Here is a 19,511-nt window from a genome sequence, read left to right as displayed (position 1 = left end):
CCGACAACCAACCAATTGAGTATTGTATGGAACCGGAAGAGACTCTGGTCCTGGAATTCTTGGGTATTCTCTATGGTTCCAGGGTCAAGCGGCGCTAAGAGAAGGCGGGACAGAGGAATGGGAAATGACGTGAGGAGTGCGGAGGGGCGCGAGGTTTCAAGATGGCGGTAGCTGAGGGGTTGACCGAGAGACCCAGTTGAAGGCCTTTACGAAGTGAAAGAGGCCGGGAGTCGCCCCCTACCCGCTTCTCGTAGTCCTGGGAGCACAGCAGAAGTGTGAGTGTATTGAATTGATTTACTACTCTTCCTCACCTCTTTCGTCCCTTCCACGTCCCGCGCAGCGGCTTGGGGGACACCCAGCCCCTTTGCCCCGCTCCTCCTCTCCCTGGTTGAGGTCTCCCTGTTGCGGACTGGGCTATTCCTGGGCCTGGGGTGGCGCGGCGACCAGTGGTTGCGCGGTTGGCATCGCCCGGGTCGGTTGGGGCCGCTTCTTACGCACGTTGATTAGTAGCCTTAGGTTTGACGTCTTGTACCTCGAGTCATGGTCGGTCAGCCGTCGCTATGGTTTCGTCAGTTGCTGGTGTTGCCTCCTTTGGTGAACCTGGACCCTATCCCATTGAAGCTTCTTTGGCTGTTTAGAGTTATCCAACGCTTATTTGGCTTGATTTTCCAGTCGCCTCCGCTTGTAGACAAAAAACTAATCTGCAGACTTAAGCTCCAGTGTCTTCCGTAAAATTCTCTGTAATTCGTATCCGTTGTGTTTCATTTGTGGGGGAGGAGATTCAGAACATGAGCCTGAGGAAACTTGAGAAAGGAAAGCACAAAAAACGCAGGCAATCAAAGATGGGAGAGCTTGTATATGTACTGATTTTGCTTGTTTTCCTCCTTCCCTACCTCCTACTCCCTGCTGCTCTCCCACCCCCCTAACCCCCCCATCCCCAGTTTTTCTTAGAAGGAAACCACTTGACAGGGTGTATGGTAGCTAGGCCAGGAATATGGATCCATTATAAAGATTTTAGTTAAGTAGTGAGTCAAACATCACAGGATATTTTATTTGTAATCTCATTGTATCATCAGAGCTTTGTTATAAAGTAATTGATGTCCCCATTTTTTAGATGAGGAAGCTAAAAATCAGAGCCTTTGATACCGCTGTCTTGAAGTAATTGCCACCAGAACAGCTGTGAAACATCTGGCTTTCTGAAACATCTGGCTTTCGGGGCAGTTGGACACTTGGTGAAAGAGACATTAACTGTAATAAACTGGGCTGACAAAATCTTCCCTTTCTTACCTTTAAAAAGTGTCTACTTGCAAAAGGAAGCAAATTTGTCCGCCTTTATTACTGGAAAGACTGCGCTTCAAAAAATTAAGCCCCATTATTTTGGAATAAGAGGAAGAAGTCATGTAATAGGGTACTGTGTTAATAAAAGTTTTAGCTTACAAAATATTTTTTCCTCAAACAAAAATAAGTATTCCCTTTAATTACCTTAAGAAATATATATTGGGAGTCAGGTCTTAGTAAGAAAAATATGTGTCTTAATATTTAAGTTTTGGGGAGCTCTCAGTATAGCACTAATTTCAAATATTTGCATTTTTAGTTGTGTTTTGAACTCTTGAGAGTCAAGCATTATATCTGAACTAGAACTGAATCTGAATTAAATATGCTTAAATTAATGAGTTTTTAGTGTCTTAGAAGTATTGAGAATGTACAGCATACATGCCAAGAAAAACCATGGAGAGAGGCAAAGGTGAGGTATGTGTTTTGAGCCTAGATCCATTACCCCCATTCCCTTCTTATTCTTCTTTTACAATTACATGTTAATAAAGGGAGGTTATAGAAGAAGGACTAATGAATTCTGATGTTCATGGTTTGTGCCATATCGTTAAAGCATTTTCTAGTTGTTTTTATCAGTTGACAAAGTCAGTGCTGTGATCCATAAGAAAAAAGCTAAACTGATGACTTGAGGATATTCAAAGTGGTCTTCACACTCATCACATTTCTGAAGAATGATAGAGATCTAAATTTTCATGGTCAAGAAAGGTGATGCCATCTTTCTTGGACATTAAAGTCAAAACTAAGGAAAGAACAGTCTCACAGAATTTCTAATTAAAGGAATTTTTTTTCAGAGATTGGTAGGGACTAGAAAAAGGAAGAAATACATTTAGGAGATATAAGCTATTTCTTTGTCTTCACCTTCACAGGTTTTTCTTTTTTTAATGAACAAGTAAACCATACAAATTGTCAACATGGGACGGAGATCTACATCATCCACCAAGAGTGGAAAATTTATGAACCCCACAGACCAAGCCCGTAAGTGTCCATTAGTGTGGAATGATGAAGTAGGAGAGTGTTAAAAATTGCAAATATTAGGGAATTTCTTTCTCTGTGGCTTAATTACAAGACCAGCAGTGATAGGAGGAATAAATTATATATTCAGGGTTTGTATGGGCACATTAAGACTTTAAATATGCAAAGAAATTAGTACCCGTATTTTATTTTTCAAATTTGATTGACTTGCAAAGTAGAATTGGCTGAAATCTTTCTTTTTATATTGGAAATTTTGAGCAAATTAGTTTTGCGAGCCCTTGTTTCGCGTTTTATGTTATGTTTTTCCTTCAGATTCATAGTTGTTTTTTATGAAACATTAAACAAAAATGTCTTGACATTTTTGGTTGTCATAATTAGAGGGATGCTCTTGGCATGTAGTGGAGAGAATCCAAAGATGCTGCTCTTTTACAGTGCATACTGTAACTTTCCACAATAAAGAATTACCTGTATTAAATTGGAGGAAATGCTAATGTTCAAGATTCAAAGATTTTATTATATCTCCCTCTCTCCTTTTAAAGGAAAGGAAGCCCGGAAGAGAGAATTAAAGAAGGTATGATTTTAGAGGCATCTTATAAAACTTTAAGTATTGTTTGGTACATCTTGTGATTTGGGATTAGTGGGTTTCAGAATAACATTTCTAATATTTTCTAGAAAAGGTACTTTATGCTTTTTATAAAAACTGTAAGATATACTAAGCCAAACTTTATTTAGGAACTGAAGTAACTTTGCAGAGAAGCTCACTACAGGTTATAATGCCATTGTTTGATTACTTTTCCCAGTGAGTTAAAAAATACTTTTGAAAATAATTCTTTTTTTTACTCATTAAAACATAACTGTTTTAAAGTCTACTGATGAGGATGGAAATAAACATGATGCTAGATAGCTTTATCCATTTTCCTGATTAGCTGTCTATTACATATATTACATTAGCTTAAATATATATATGTAGGTTTATAATATTTATAGATATATTAGATTTATATATCCATTTTCCCAATTAGCATTCTCCTCTTAGCTGTTGAATTTGTGGCAAAGTACTTCAAAAGAATTAGAAAGGATTTGCCTTATAGTATTGTGCTTTATAGTATTATAGTATAATACATTGAAGCAACACAGATTTTAAATAATGTTCGATTGTGTTTTCATGTTTAGCATTAACTCCTGCAAAATTTTTAAATATTCTTTATATAATTTTAGAATTTAGCTTCAACCTTTGCTTTGGACTTCAACTAGCAGAGGTTTTACAACAGGGGGCAGGAACAATCACCCAAGGTCTTCAAGAACATAAGGGGTTAAAAAAAAGAAATTTAAAGTGTATGTGTGTTTAAGTAACTGCTAAAGATCTCAGAGTTCAAAGAAATACTTTACTAAGAAAGCACATCTTAAAAATAGCATTTCTTTATCTTTTTGACAAGTGTAAACATTTTTAAGGCAAAAAATTACATAGCTGTTTCTGGTGGTTGAAACAAGTGATCAGAAGCCAAGGAGTTATTCTGTTTAGATTCTTAAAGCAAGTTGAAGTAAAACTCCTGAGTGCCTGACTTCTTGACATCTGCCCTTTTATTTTTCTAAGAACAAAAAACAGCGCATGATGGTTCGAGCTGCAGTTTTAAAGATGAAGGATCCAAAACAGATAATCCGAGACATGGAGAAATTGGATGAAATGGGTAAGAATTTACAAACAGGCAGCTATAACAGTCTGACACGTACAGAGGCAGGCAGGTAACGAGTGAAGCAGCATAGGCGTAAGTAAAACAGAACAGCATGATGGCATTTGATGCTTGGATTTAATGTTAGTTTCAGGGAGACAAAATGGAGTGCTAGAGGGCTGTTGCAAACTGGAGACCCCAGATACCAGAATAAGAGGGAAGCGATTATTTGGCTTTCAGTTAATTGTTATTGTGAGATAACAGAAGCACAGTTTGGCCAGCTTGCTTTTTGGGAGAAGACTTAATCTGATTTATGAAATAACCTTGGGTTTTTTGTTTGTCGTCTTTTATTTAATGTTGGCAACTACCATGTAAATCTAAGTATTAGGCCCCTGTGAATATAAGGCAATTTCCAATTTTTCCAATCAGAAGATCCAAAAAGATACTTATCCATTTAGTAAGGATATAGAAAAAAATCATCAAATACCTAAAAACCAAATAATAAAATACTATACCAGGATTCTCTGCCTTTTTCACATTTTATAGAATAGTTTTATTCACTCTTCATATGCATTTTAAGTATCGCTGCTTTGTTATAACTGGAATCACATGAAATAGCTGCATGTTATCTTTTTTTGCATCTAAGTTTGAAAATCATTGATGTTGCCACTGGAAATTTTATCCTAACCCACAAATATCCATTCTGTTTAATATTAGAACATGTAGAATATTTTGTTTTTTTAATAGAAATTTTCAAACATGCAAGAAAATAAAATAGTCTAGTTAACTTCCATGTGCTTTTCACCTGTCAAGTTTCTGCCACTTTGTCTTCTACCCTTTGCCACTTTTGTAAAATAGCATTTTAAAGTGATCGTTACAAGTTCCATGTTTTGCCCAAAAACAGAGTAGTAAGTAAAAGAGATGGAATGAAACTCCTCAATGATACATTAAATGGGGTACAAAAAAAAAATTCAGTCATGGCATTAGGCTATTACAAGGTTTCTGAAATAATGTGGGAGAATCTGTGCAGCTAGCCTGGCTAAGAGTTCTGGGTCAGGCTTCAGGATCCCAGATATTTCCCAGTTCAGTTGTAACTGATTCCACTTCCTGCCTCTGGTCTAAATATCAGCAGGGATAATTACTTTCCTTGGGGAATCAGGGAATCCTTCTTTAAATGACCCCAAATGTTATGTGTTGTTTTAAAAGGAGATAATAGGAATAACTGAGGTTTCTTGAGTAGTTGTCTTGCTATACACCTACGCACCAGTTTTTTTCCACCAGTTTTCTAATCGTCACAATTTTTTAGGGTAGGTGCACTGTCCCTATTATACAGGTAAGAAAACTCAGGCATGGAGAGATTACATAGCTTTCCTCAAGGTCACACTGCTATGTAGTGGCAAAGCTGAGATTAAAACTCAGGCATTCAGCGCTTTTACTAATCACACTAGGATTAGTATGGTGTAAGAATACGCCCTCTGGATTTGAATAAATTGCCAAGATTAATAATAGTTAATAGGATTTAAGGAAGAAGATAAATTTGTTATTCTTTTAAGAAAAAGGAAAGGGGTGAAGAGAATACTATTCATCAGGGGTCTAGTTACAATTTATAAAACTCAATACAGACTAGTTAAGGCAGAAAAAAGCATGCATTGGCTGTCTTAATTAAGAAGTCTTAACATAAAAAAAAGATGAGAAATCCCTGAGAGAAACTAGCCTCAAAATCCAGTCTCATCATCAGTACTGTCCATCTGTCTAGTCTGATGTCTGTTAGCCTCATTCAGCTTACTACTAATGAACTCCTTGGGATAGAAGGTGGAATATATGTGTGTAATTAGTGATGATTGAGAGACAAGGCCACAGGCAGCTCTAGGTTTGTTTTCTCTCTACATAACACATTCAGAAAGAAAATCTGAGAGCTTATCTCTCTCACATCTACATTTAAAATCTCAGGGAATGTTCTGGTCCCAGTTTGGATCATGTGCTAATTGATCTCTGAGTCATTCACTGAAAAGGAAGATGGGGGGATATGATTGACCAGGCAGGCCTGGAGGTCTTATTCTTGGGATAGAGGACCTGCAGTTAAGCCCCATATTGACACATGATTAGTTAGGGAGAGAAAGGATTGTATAGTAGCTAGGCCAGGAATACGGATCTGTTATAAAGATTATAGTTAAGTGGTGAGTCAAACACCACTGGATATTTTATTTGTAATCCCATTGTATCATCATAGCTTTATTACAAAGTGATTAACGTCTCCATTTTTTAGATGAGGAAGCAAAAAATCAGAGAATTCAAGTAAAATGCTTAAGATCTCAAAATTTGACAGGACTAACGTAGTAGGTAAACACAAATCTGACAGAATCTTCACGAGGTTTTCAGCACAGAGCAGTGAAAATTGATTTTTATTACAATGAAGATGAAAGTCAATTAGGTGGCATTTCTGAGAAAGGTAAAATTAGTGGCCATCTAAAAAGGGTGGGGATTTTAATAAATATTGTAGTTCTTCGAATAAAATTGAAAAGAGTATGTCTGGTGTCTAGATCTCTTAAAAATTTTTTAGCATATATGGAGGTTTTTATCATGTAACCTATTGATACCTAATTGAAGTGGCCTCTTATATTTAATTCCATAATCTACTTTTTCTCTTAGAGTTTAACCCAGTGCAACAGCCACAATTAAATGAGAAAGTACTGAAAGACAAGCGTAAAAAGCTGCGTGAAACCTTTGAACGTATTCTACGACTCTATGAAAAAGAGAATCCAGATATTTACAAAGAATTGAGAAAGCTAGAAGTAGAATATGAACAGAAGAGGGCTCAACTTAGCCAATATTTTGATGCTGTCAAGGTAATCAAGGTTTTTTTTTTGAGAGATAAACTAAAATATTATACAGATTGAGTATCCCTTATGCAAAGTGCTTGGGACCAGAAGTGTTTTGGATTTAGGGTTGTTGGGTTTTTTTTATATTTTGTTTTGTTTTTGTGTATATTTGCATATATTTTGGGGATGGAACCCTAGTCTAAGCATGAAATTTATGTTTCATATACACATAGCCTGAAGATAATTTTATAAATTTTGTGCATGAAACAAAACTACGACCCATCACATTAGGTCAGGTGTGGATTTTTCCACCATGGCATCATATGGGAGTCAAAAAGTTTAGGATTTTGGAGCATTTTAGATATTCAGATTAGGGATGCTCAGCCTATACTTAGATTTAAAAAGTTAATGGGAGAATGTCATGTTGAACCTCTTCCTTATAGCAGTTTCTTCTAAAACTAAACATATACCTACTGTGTGAACCTGCAAATCTAATCCTCTTTATTTAAACAGAAGAAATTAATTCAAAAACTTGGATCAGCCTAAGTGTTCACTAATAGGATAATGGATAATTAAACTGTAGCATATTTATACAATAGAATACTATTCAGCAATAAAAGGAATAATCTAATACTCAAAACAGCATGGAATAAAAAAAGAAAAATTGTGAGTAAATCTCAAAAACATGCTAAGTTTATCTCATTGTTATGATTTCATTTTTATGAAATTCTAGAATAGTCACAGATAATCTGTGCAGGAAAAAAAAATGTAGCCGTGGTTGCCTTGGGGGATGATATTAGAGATGGATTGGGAAGGAGTATGAGGTATATGCATTTGTCAAAACTTACTGAATTTGTAAATTTCGTAAATTTTACCTCAAAATAAAGATGGGAAAAAATCAAATGCTATAATTTCTGTAAAGGAGGTAATATGTCTCCCATTTTACAGATGAAGGCACAGGTTACCTTGCTTAGTCAAACTAAGCTAATACACAACAGAAATTCAACATAGGCAAGCTAATGAGCCCAACCTCCACCACTGGATATATACTATTTGTTAGTTGACATATATTATTTTTCTTTTTTTTGTTTATTTTTTGTTTTTGAGACCGAGTCTCACTCTGTTGCCCAAGCTGGAGTGCAGTGGCACCATCTTGGCTCACTGCAACCTCTGCCTCCCAGGTTCAAGCAATTCTCCTCCCTCAGCCTCCTGAGTAGCTGGGACTACAGGCACACGCCACCACAACTGGCTAATTTTTGTAGTTTTATTAGAGATGGAGTTTCACCATATTGGCCAGGCTGGTCTCAAACTCCTGAGCTTGTGATCGACCTGCGTCAGCCTCCCAAAATGCTCGGATTACAGGTGTGAGCTACCACGCCCAGCCTGACATGTATTTTTCTATCACATGTTAAATAGGGTAGTTCTGGTGCTAGATACTTGTAACAGTTGGCTTTCTCTAGACAACAGCTGTTTCGAATCATCCAAAAAGAATTACCTGATAAGAGGAGAAAAAAAACAGCTGGGTTCTGACGTTTTTAGAAGTAAAGATTTCTTTCAGTTCTTTGACAATGTGGAAGTATTGACGTAAGGTTATTTTTCTGGGGGTTTTTGGTGATATTTATGTTAGTTGGAAAGCATGTCCAAGTTACGAAACAGCTGACTTGTCATTTTTAGTGTTTAGTTAGTAGATGACTTTTTTATCATACTACTGAATGGTTCTCTGTTTCAGAATGCTCAGCATGTGGAAGTGGAGAGTATTCCTTTGCCAGATATGCCACATGCTCCTTCCAACATTTTGATCCAGGACATTCCACTTCCTGGTGCCCAGCCACCCTCTATCCTAAAGAAAACCTCAGCCTATGGGTAAGGAAGCAGTGTCACAATCAGAGAGCATTTAGTAAAGGCACAAGTTGACTGTCCAGTGCCAAAATTAATGCAGAGGGAAATAAAAGACAATATGGATGTAAACAGTGTGACATTTGATTAAATGTAAAATAAGAAATCCCTTGAAAATTGTTTAGAAGAGAAAATAAATATCTCATTACTGTTAAGTGATTACTGTGGGGGTTTTTTTGTTTTTGTTTTTTTTTTTAACAGACCTCCAACTCGGGCAGTTTCTATCCTTCCTCTTCTTGGACATGGTGTTCCACGTTTGCCCCCTGGCAGAAAACCTCCTGGCCCTCCCCCTGGTCCACCTCCTCCTCAAGTCGTGCAGATGTATGGCCGTAAAGTGGGTTTTGCCCTAGATCTTCCCCCTCGTAGGCGAGATGAAGACATGTTATATAGTCCTGAACTTGGTGAGAAGTGACTGTTCTTTTGCTTTTATAACTATCATTTTTTATGTTGGCCCTGTTTAACATATTGTTCACCACCCTCAGAACTTAGAAAGTAAATGAGAGGGTATCATGTACATAACTAATATACATACAGTTGGATAAATCATAGGATCTTCTCAAGTAAAAGCATCATACATAAGTATAGAAATGTTTATCGTGTTTTAAATTAGGCTTTTCCTGGAGATGTCACTCTTGCTGCTAATCCTTTAAGACTTGTATATCTGGTTCCCTTTTAGCTTTATTGTCATCAGACTAGAGCGTCATTGTATACATTCACTGACTGTGTATGTGTATACAAACATGATTGTTGCTAAAGGAGGAAATGGGTTTTCAAATTAGAACTCTTTTTAAAAAAATCTTAAATTACCAAAAAGAAGTGTTTAAAATTATTGGCAGAGGAAAATTTTGTTAGACTGTATGAGTAGCTATATATACAAGAATTTTTTTTTTTTTTTTTTGGTAAGAATTAAGTTGTTACAGTCTGAGTTGAATAGCATAATTTTCTGTATTTCTGGGTACCATGTAGTGGAGGGTCCAATCATACTACTTCTCCATGTTCCCTTCCCACTTTTCAGCCCAGCGAGGTCATGATGATGATGTTTCTAGCACCAGTGAAGATGATGGCTATCCTGAGGACATGGATCAAGATAAGCATGATGACAGTACTGATGACAGTGACACCGACAAATCAGATGGAGAAAGTGACGGGGATGAATTTGTGCACCGTGATAATGGTGAGAGAGACAACAATGAAGAAAAGAAGTCAGGTATGTGCAGATGAAGGATTCATGGTATTGATCAATAAAGAGAAAACAAGCTGAAGGTCCTAATTTATTAATGAATCTGTGAGAGTACTCTGAAATCTTTGGAAGTCGGGATCATAGCTGTGTTCATCTTATATATTAAAATTTTGAAAGTTTTTGACACAGTAAGTACTCAGTGGATGTTTATGAGGAAAAGCATTAAACTGTATGTAATAAAAATGTCTATGTAATAAAGTTCACTTTGGGGTAAAAGGTATAACTATTCAACAGCATAAACGTATTATGGGTATGTTACAGGAAAGAAAGGAGAGTAGCCATATTAAGAAAAACATTGATGTTGTATTTTATAAATCTGTTTAAATATCTACCTTTGAAGCCCTTTTATGGTATCTTACATGAACCAGGATCATAATTATAACCCAGGTACACTCATGAGTGGAATCATGAAACATATTATATCTATAATGTGTGTGTTTGATTATTAAAAAATTCAAATAGGACATTTGTCAAGAAAATTTTAAGCATCATAATGGGTACTGACAGTGGAAAATGCACACCAATTCTGTCAAACCTCAGCAATTTTGGAGCTTCTTTTGGGATTGTTTATGTGGCCTACAACAGAATATATAATACTATGTAATATTAATATTGATAATGACAAATTTTTCTCCTGCTGTGTCTTAAGAATCATGGTTGCAAGAACAAAAAAGCTGGTTAAAAATGATAGAGCTGGTAATGAAAGATAATTATAGAGGACTATTAGGTAGGAACTAGGACTGGAAAGTAGAAAGCCATTAGAGCCATGGCAGCTCCATTTTTTTCTGGGTCTGTGTGGTCTCTTGCCTTCTTTTCCTTTTATTCTGCCTACAGATTTTTTTTCTTTTTTTCCTTTTTTTTTTTTTGAGACAATCTCACTCTTGTCGCCCAGGTTGGAGTGCAATGGCACAATCTCAGCTCACTGCAACCTCCATCTCCTAGGTTCAAGCGATTCTCCTGCCTCAGTCTCCCAAGTAGCTGGGATTACAGGCACCCGCCACCACACCCAGCTAATTTTTGTATTTTTAGTAGAGACAGGGTTTCACCGTGTTGGCCAGGCTGGTTTCGAACTCCTGACCACAGGTGATCTGCCCCCCTCGGCCTCCCAAAGTGCTGGGAATACAGGCATGAGCCACCAACCCAGCCAGATTTTTCTTATATATTCTCATCAACACACATGTTCTGAAAATGGCCGTCCCAACTCTGAGTTGATACTCACTCAGCTAATATTTATTGAGTTTTTACTATATACGGCATTTTTTCTAGGCACTAAGGATACAGGGTAAACAAAACTAAAGTTCTGTTCACATGGAACTATTCTCCTAAAATGTTTACCAACTAAAAATACTCCTATCCAGTGTCTAATGGATAGCCTTTGTCAGTTAAGTTCTTTTTATTCTTAGCTTGCTAATAGGTTTTTTTTAATCATAAATATTTTTTAGGTATCTGTTGGGATGTAACTTTTTTTGTTTTTTTTAAGTTCTTTAGTGAATTAGATTGCTGGCTTTTAGAACACTTGGATTCAACTTGCTTGTATTTTTTTTCCTTTTTGTAAATTTTAATTTTGATAGTTTTTGGAGAACAGGTTGTGTTTGGTTACATGGATGAGTTCTTTAATGGTGATTTCTGAGATTTTGATGCATCCCTCACCCAAGTAGTGTATATACTGTACCCAGTTTGTAGTCTCCTTTCCTTCACTCCCCTCCCACCCTTCCCCACTGAGTCCCCAAAGTCCATTGTATCATTCTTAGGCTTTTGCATCCTCATATCTTAGCTCCCACTTATAAGTGAGAGCATACAATATTTGATTTTTCATTCCTGAATTACTTCACTTAATTGCCTCCAACTTCATCCAAGTTGCTGTAAAGGCCATTATTTTGTTCCATTTTATGGCTGAGTAGTATTCCATGGTGGATATATACCACATTTTCTTTAACCACTGGTTGGTTGATGACATTTAAATTAGTTTCATATTTTTGCAATAGCAAATTGTGCTGCTATAAACATGTGTAACTTGCTTATATTTTATGTTGGCCAGTAGATGAATTTTGGTATCATGGTTAGGCTAGTTTCATGAGTTGGGTAACATTTCATCTTTTCCTATGCTCTTTATCAGATTTCTGTAACTTAATGTTTGGCTGAATTTCCTCCTAATATTATTTGTAGCCTTTAAGGAGTAGATCTTCAACTACCATTTAAGTTTTGTATATTCTGGGCTTATCACTTCTTTGGCCAACTTTAGTAATTTATCTTTTCTTGAAAATTGTTTTTATCTGGGTGTTCGTATCATTAGTATAGCTATCTCATCCTGCACCTCTGCCAAGTAGTGGGTAGCAATCATATCTAGTACTTTATAGTGCTACGTAGTAAACATTTACTGAATTTTGTTGATGCCAATCTACTCCACTCCCTCCTTTGTCCCCTTAGGTCTGAGTGTACGGTTTGCAGATATGCCTGGAAAATCAAGGAAGAAAAAGAAGAACATGAAGGAACTGACTCCTCTTCAAGCCATGATGCTTCGTATGGCAGGTGAGGCAGGGAAAAAATAGTGAATCACCTTTTGGTGTATCCTCACGCTAATTACTTTACATACGTTTTTCCATTTAGTATCTCAGCAACCTTCAAGTAAGTAATAAGTCCTTGTTTTACAAAAATAAGGTTTGGAACCATTATATAGGCTGCCTAAAGTTACACAGCAAGTAAATGGTGGGGCTGGCATTTAAATATTGGTCTGTCTGGTTTTAAAGCCTGAGTTCATTCCACTATGCTGCATTAACATAGATAAGTAGAATGTTATTTCTTTCACATCTAAGTATTTTATTGAAGAAGACTATTTGGTTTTTAATTTTGAGAACACATTTATTAACCATGTGTATTCAGTCATTGCTGTTCTCCAAACTGTAAGAAAATGAATCAACTCCATTTACTGGGTTTAAAATTTCTTTCAGGTCAAGAAATCCCTGAGGAGGGACGGGAAGTAGAGGAATTTTCAGAGGACGATGATGAAGATGATTCTGATGACTCTGAAGCAGAAAAGCAATCACAAAAGCAGCATAAAGAGGAATCCCATTCTGATGGCACATCCACTGCTTCTTCACAGCAGCAGGCTCCGCCGCAGTCTGTTCCTCCTTCTCAGATACAAGCACCTCCCATGCCAGGACCACCACCTCTTGGACCACCACCTGCTCCACCATTACGGCCTCCTGGGCCACCTACAGGCCTTCCTCCTGGTCCACCTCCAGGTAAACACTTACATAATGTGAATAAAGTTTAAATGAGGTTAGAATGAAGTCATTCCAAAAAATACTATGTGTTGTTAGTGTTCATGTTTTCTTGTTTCCTCCTAATTGGATTCTCTTAAGATGTGAAGGATTCTCAAAGGACAAGTAAAGGTTGTTCATTCCCAAACCATTGTTTGCAACTCATAGTTCTACTGACAGCCACCTGTTTTTCTCCAGAGCACTCTTGTTTTCACAGTTTTTCTTATTACAGCAGACAGAAACTTGAACATGTAATGGAGGTTTTCTTTAGTATTGCTTTTTAGTATGATAGGTTGACCTAGCTCTAAATTGGCAGCAGGTGGGAGTAAGACACAGTTAATAATGTCTTGTGTTCTTAGGTTAGGAATGTTGAATGTCAGTGTAATCTCCATAGTTTTTTAGTTGTAGTTCTTTTTTAGAGGCAAAGGTGATTAGTCTGTTTATTAAGTGTTCAGTTTGAAAGTATAAAAAGATTATTTATGAAATGAAGCAACAGAGAACTTTTCAGCTATTTGTGATTTTAGTCCTTCATCCTATTGTCAGCCTACTAAGTTTTCTTCAGTTGAGCTAATCATTTTCCGATTGGTGCAAAGCAAAGTTACCTATTTTATGTCATTCTTAGTGGTCTTTGTCTATATATTCATGAGTTTCAAGGGGTCCTTAAAGCATTGTGTTTTATATTCCATTTTCAGCTTATACTGGAACCATTTAAGAATTCTTATCACCTTTGTATATTTCCAACATTGCGGAGCTGTGATTGAATATGCTTTTTGTCAGTGTTGGGAAATAAAGTGAAAAGATCCACAACAAATCCAGTACCATTTTTCTGGTGCTCAGATATATTTTTTTTTTTAAGACGGAGTCTTGTTCTGTCACCCAGGCTGGAGTGCAATGGCGCAATCTCAGCTCACTACAAGCTCCGCCTCCCGGGTTCACACCATTCTCCTGCCTCAGCCTCCCAAGTAGCGGGGATTACAGGTGTCTGCCACCATGCCCGGCTAATTTTTATGTATTTTTAGTAGAGATGGGGTTTCACCATCTTGGCCAGGATGGTCTTGAACTCCTGACCTTGTGATCCACCCACTTCAGCCTCCCAAAGTGCTGGGATTACAGGCATGAGCCACCATGCCCGGCTGTACTCAGATATTTATTGAATGAATTCTGTTTCCATGTATGTTTCATTAACTTCTTGAAGTTAATCTGATTTCAGGTTAAAGTCAAACCATATTTGAGTTACTTTTAAGCCATAATTATTACTTAGTGTACATTTGTGTGACATTAATTTATCATTTTTCTCTTTTCAGGAGCTCCTCCATTCCTGAGACCACCTGGAATGCCAGGACTCCGAGGGCCCTTACCCCGACTTTTACCTCCAGGACCACCACCAGGCCGACCCCCTGGCCCTCCCCCAGGTCCACCTCCAGGTCTGCCTCCTGGTCCCCCTCCTCGTGGACCCCCACCAAGGCTACCTCCCCCTGCACCTCCAGGTGATGCTTTCAATTTCTATAATAAAAACTTAGCCTGCTGTTTATTTAATTTGCTCTAAGACATATGGTCACATTTCAGTATTCTGAAATCTGAGGTCATCTTACAGTCAGTGGTGGTTTTTAAGTTGCCGTTGACCTGGCTTGAAGTACAGTTCTTCCAGTGGGTATTTGCACTTGGTTCACTTGAGGAACTTGTAGCCAGAGAACATGGGATTAAATTCTCTATTTGATAATTTTTTGGTTTTAGTTGTAGTTACGAAGCCGTTTCATGCATCTGCATGAGTACCAACTTAAAGTTTAAAATTAGAGTGTTTTTTTCCCTTACCTCTACCTAATGTCAAGGTTAGACATGCAGATTTTCTTGTGGGCTTGTTTTATGTGGTAGGTATATTTCTAGTTTACAACACTGAAATGTCCCAGTTTCATGTGAATATCTGCTTTTCAGTGCCCCAGCTGGGGCTTTTTTTCCTCTCTCTCTCTCAGTGGTACACAGAATAATTATGAGTTTGTAATCAATAGGATCTTAGATTTGATAAAATGTACTTAATATTTCATTTAAAAGTGGTATTTGAAGAACTGAAATCTGCAGTTCTTGGTATATGAATATTGTGTATGTCTGAACTGTCCATAGGACATGAGTTCTTTTCCAGTAATGATGACAGATTGTGATTAGTTGCATTCTCTTACTCCATGTGCATTGTTTTTTTCTTTGAGACGGAGTTTCATTCTTCTTGCCCAGGCTGGAGTGCAATGGCGCGATCTGAGCTCACTGCAACCTCCGCCTCCTGGGTTCAAGCAATTCTCCTGCCTCAGCCTCCCAAGTAGCTGGGATTACAGGCGTGCACCACCACGCCCAGCTAATTTTGTATTTTTAGTAGAGACAGGGTTTCATCATGTTGGTCATCAGGCTGGTCTCGAGCTCCTGACCTCAAATGATCCACCCGCCTCAGCCTCCCAAAGTGCTGGGATTACAAGTGTGAGCCACCATGCTCGGCCTCCGTATGCATTTGATGACCAGGGTTAAAATTTTATTTCCTGCCCATTGACCTTTTTGTGCAGGGGAAATGGTATGGAATATAATGCATGGGGATCAGTCTCCTGACCTTGTCCTTACTAATACCTGCACTATGCAGCTGGAATAGAACCTTGGGATGTGAGATTTGAGATAGTAATTTGAAACCAGTTGATGTCCCTTTATATTTTAAAGTAGGATGTTATTTAGAGAAGAAGAGAACATAATACTGTAAGTACAGGAATATAGGCTGAAGGTAAATACTGTTTTATAATAAAATATTCCTGAGTTTCAAATAGCAACCAATATGAATTCAGCTTATTTTCTGTAAGTTGTTATCCATTTATTTAAAAATTGGCAACCAATATTTAAATGTCCTTAATAGTAGTTAAATTTTATTAGTTCTTACAGTATTCATCTTGCCTATTTTATTCATTTAGGTATTCCTCCACCTCGTCCTGGCATGATGCGCCCACCTTTGGTGCCTCCCCTTGGACCTGCCCCCCCTGGGCTGTTCCCACCAGCTCCCTTGCCAAACCCTGGGGTTTTAAGTGCCCCACCCAACTTGATTCAGCGACCCAAGGCGGATGATACAAGTGCAGCCACCATTGAGAAGAAAGCCACAGCAACCATCAGTGCCAAGCCACAGATCACTAATCCCAAGGCAGAGATTACTCGATTTGTGCCCACTGCACTGAGAGTACGTCGGGAGAATAAAGGGGCTACTGCTGCTCCCCAAAGAAAGTCAGAGGATGATTCTGCTGTGCCTCTTGCCAAAGCAGCACCCAAATCTGGTCCTTCTGTTCCTGTCTCAGTACAAACTAAGGATGATGTCTATGAGGCTTTCATGAAAGAGATGGAAGGGCTACTGTGACAGCTTTTGATGCCAGAAAAGGCTTCTGTTCACAACAGTGGCCCATGGAGAAAGAGGCTCTTATTAAACTTAGATGAAAGAGCTGCTTCCATTGTCAGGGTATTTTCTAATTTCAGTTCAAGGAATATCCTAAAATTTAGCCTTGTTCAGAATTTACTGCACATAAAAAAGGGTATTTCATCCAGAATAGATCAGTTATTGAAGCAGTGCTGCTAACATCCATTCCCTTTCATACCACCATTTTCACCCTGTTTCTTCCCCTCCTCCAGTTCTTTGGAAATTTGTGATCGGGGGATCTTAGTTGCTTATTTGTTTTGACTCTTGTGTGCTGTGGGCACTGGAGTAGAGATTTCTGGAGAAAAAAAAACAGTTTATTTCATCTTGCCTTTTGTGTTTGAGTTATTTTTAATATTTTCCTGTAAATATTTTGTAATATTTTACTTGTAATGAAATGGATCACAATGTCATTTCCTAATACAAGGCAGGATATGTGGGAAGAATATGTACAATTATTTGATTAAAATTATTTCCCACTGACCTAAACTTTCAGTGATTTGTGGGAAAAATAAATAAATGTTCTACACCAAGATACTCTGTGTTACTGATAATATGTAAACATAATACCTATTTTATGGACAGAAAAAGTTAAATATTTAAAACTTGGGTCTTTAAGGAACTGCCTTTCTGGTACAGAATGAGAATCTTACTGAAAACATGGTAAAAACTACATTTTAAATTTTAAGGGATAAAAAGGAGTAATTATTTCCCTTTTTTAAGATTGTCATACTGGCTTTAGAGAAACTGAGAGGTGTTAAGAATAGTATGGTTTGGCTTTTATTATTTAAAAGATGTCTTACCTTCAGTGGTTACTTATTCCAGAGCTTCTTGAACTGATACGAGTTGAATGGCAAAAGTCATTTTAAACCATTTTTAAGCTATAAAAGAATCAGAAGAGGTTAGCTTTTTTTCCTTTCTGAATTGGTGGGTTTGGTGTGCTTTTATATTAAAATATGAATGAATAAGAGTGCTTAACATTAATTTGCATTTATACCATTTTCTTTACAAAGTGCTTTAATGTAAACTCATCTACCAATTTAGACTAACTCTTAGTAAGTTTAATGTTAATTTAATGACTAACTCATCTACCAATTAACCCTATAGATAACTTTTCTGGGTATTTTCCCCATTTTACATTAGAGAGTATTGAAACTTAAAAAGGACTCGTGATTTATCCAGTGATCCAAAGTGTGTATTTCATAAACACATACACACAGTGCGTGCATTGTTTAGGCATACGTTACTTTCCACAGTATCTCAAATGCCTTTTACATGAATCCCATACTATCAAAAATTGGTGATAACCTAAAATGTAGTGCAATAATACAATAAGGCATTTATTTTCTTAGAGTTGAGTTGATGGATTTTTAGATTTTTATTCAAGATCTTTTGTTTGTTTGGCTTTGCTTGGAAGATACTGATTTATTCTTTCATATTAAAGCAAATCCTGCCAAAGCACTAAATAGACCGTTTTGGGTTGGTTTTTTAGTGTAATATTAATACGGGTCCACAGGTGAATTGAGTCTGTTCAGATGTAAGGATTGAACCTTATGTTATCAATCCTTGACACCATCCTTGATAACTTACGGATATCAAGGATCAAACCATATGGTATCAATATTGTTAGTTATTCAGCATAAACAGAATTATTTCCCAATACTTGATCTGAAATATTTTTAATGGTCTTACTTGAAACTTATATTCTTTCTGGGAGTGATGTTTTTATCATTTTTCCATGGAGACAGGTTCTAACTCTGTTGCCCAGGCTGCAGTGCAGTGATGTGATCATAGCTCACTGCAGCCTGAAACTCCTGGGTTCAAGTGATCTCTGGCCTCAGCCTCCCAAGTAGTTGGAACTTCAGATACGTGCCACCACAACCAGCTAATTTATTTTTTAGAGATGAGGTCTCGCTATGTTGCCCAGTCTGGTCTCCTAGCCTCAAGTGATCTTCCCATCTCAGCCTTCAGTTGGAGATTTCTGATTTATGTTAATATAAGAAAGCTGTTGATAGTTTATCATAAAGGCATTTCCTTATATTGCTAGTATAATTTTCTGAAAATTAGTGGTGTGACAATACATCAGCTGCATCCACAGGAAAGGGGAATTAATTAGCAGTTCTGATTCTGGGTACACTTGTTATGATCATAATTTACATAATATTTTCATGAAAATGGTCAGCTCACAGCTATGAAATGTAAATGATAGAAATCTTTAATCATGTATATGGATAGACTTGTTACTATTTCCTTATCAAAGTGTCACTTTAGGGACAGCAGTTGCCCCTTTAAATTAAGGATCACCACAATAATACTCTGCCATGTCATGGAATCAGCATGAAGCCCTGGATGCTATCCAAGATTCTGTTTCAGTTCTCATTTTGTATATTCTTGTTTGTGCTCTTGATTAAAATATCTCCTTATATATAGCTGGGAAGGGTTATTTATAAGTATTTTTTAAATCATTTTTATTGCATTCAAGTAATTCTTCAGGCCCAGAAGATGGGACAATCGCTACCCATATAGAACTGAACGGTTTTATCCCTAACTCAAACTACAGTGGATCTAACGTCTGAAAATGTTCCTCAGCCAGTTTGGAAGACTCGCCTTATTTAAGGACTACTGGGGCTCAAAGCTGTCAACAAGCAGAACTACACATAATTTCTTCATATACAGATCCTAGATCCAGGAAGGTATTAATGAGTTGCTGGAAAACATATTTTTACATTCTTAGAAATAAGAGCTTTTGGCAAAAGTCAGAACCAGAACTTCTGTGAAGCCAAAAGAACTGTCTCCCAGCTTTTTTCTCTAGGAAGGCCTTGTAGTTTATGAAGGAAAGAGGACAGAAGGCAGGTGGCTATGTTCTGGGTGAATGGAGGGATTTTAATTGGTAGA

The 19,511-nt window shown here is 37.3% G+C and overlaps 1 protein-coding gene across 1 annotated transcript; it reads left to right on the top strand.

The window, feature by feature from the left end:
* The first annotated feature begins 148 nt into the window (after positions 1 to 148).
* WBP11 (WW domain binding protein 11) lies at positions 149 to 19,045 on the top strand. Its single transcript, NM_016312.3, has 12 exons — positions 149 to 275; positions 2,199 to 2,307; positions 2,844 to 2,875; positions 3,899 to 3,992; positions 6,624 to 6,820; positions 8,523 to 8,656; positions 8,891 to 9,090; positions 9,705 to 9,896; positions 12,357 to 12,458; positions 12,878 to 13,171; positions 14,494 to 14,676; positions 16,129 to 19,045. Exons 2-12 carry the CDS (start codon positions 2,244 to 2,246, stop codon positions 16,560 to 16,562), a joined length of 1,926 nt encoding a protein of 641 aa, NP_057396.1. The 5' UTR covers positions 149 to 275; positions 2,199 to 2,243; the 3' UTR covers positions 16,563 to 19,045.
* The last annotated feature ends 466 nt before the right edge of the window (positions 19,046 to 19,511 follow it).

This window comes from Homo sapiens, chromosome 12, assembly GCF_000001405.40.
Source record: "Homo sapiens chromosome 12, GRCh38.p14 Primary Assembly".
In the NCBI taxonomy this organism is placed as follows: Eukaryota; Metazoa; Chordata; class Mammalia; order Primates; family Hominidae; genus Homo; species Homo sapiens.
Note: the sequence above shows the minus strand (reverse complement) of the source record. Positions and strands in the feature narration are given on the sequence as shown.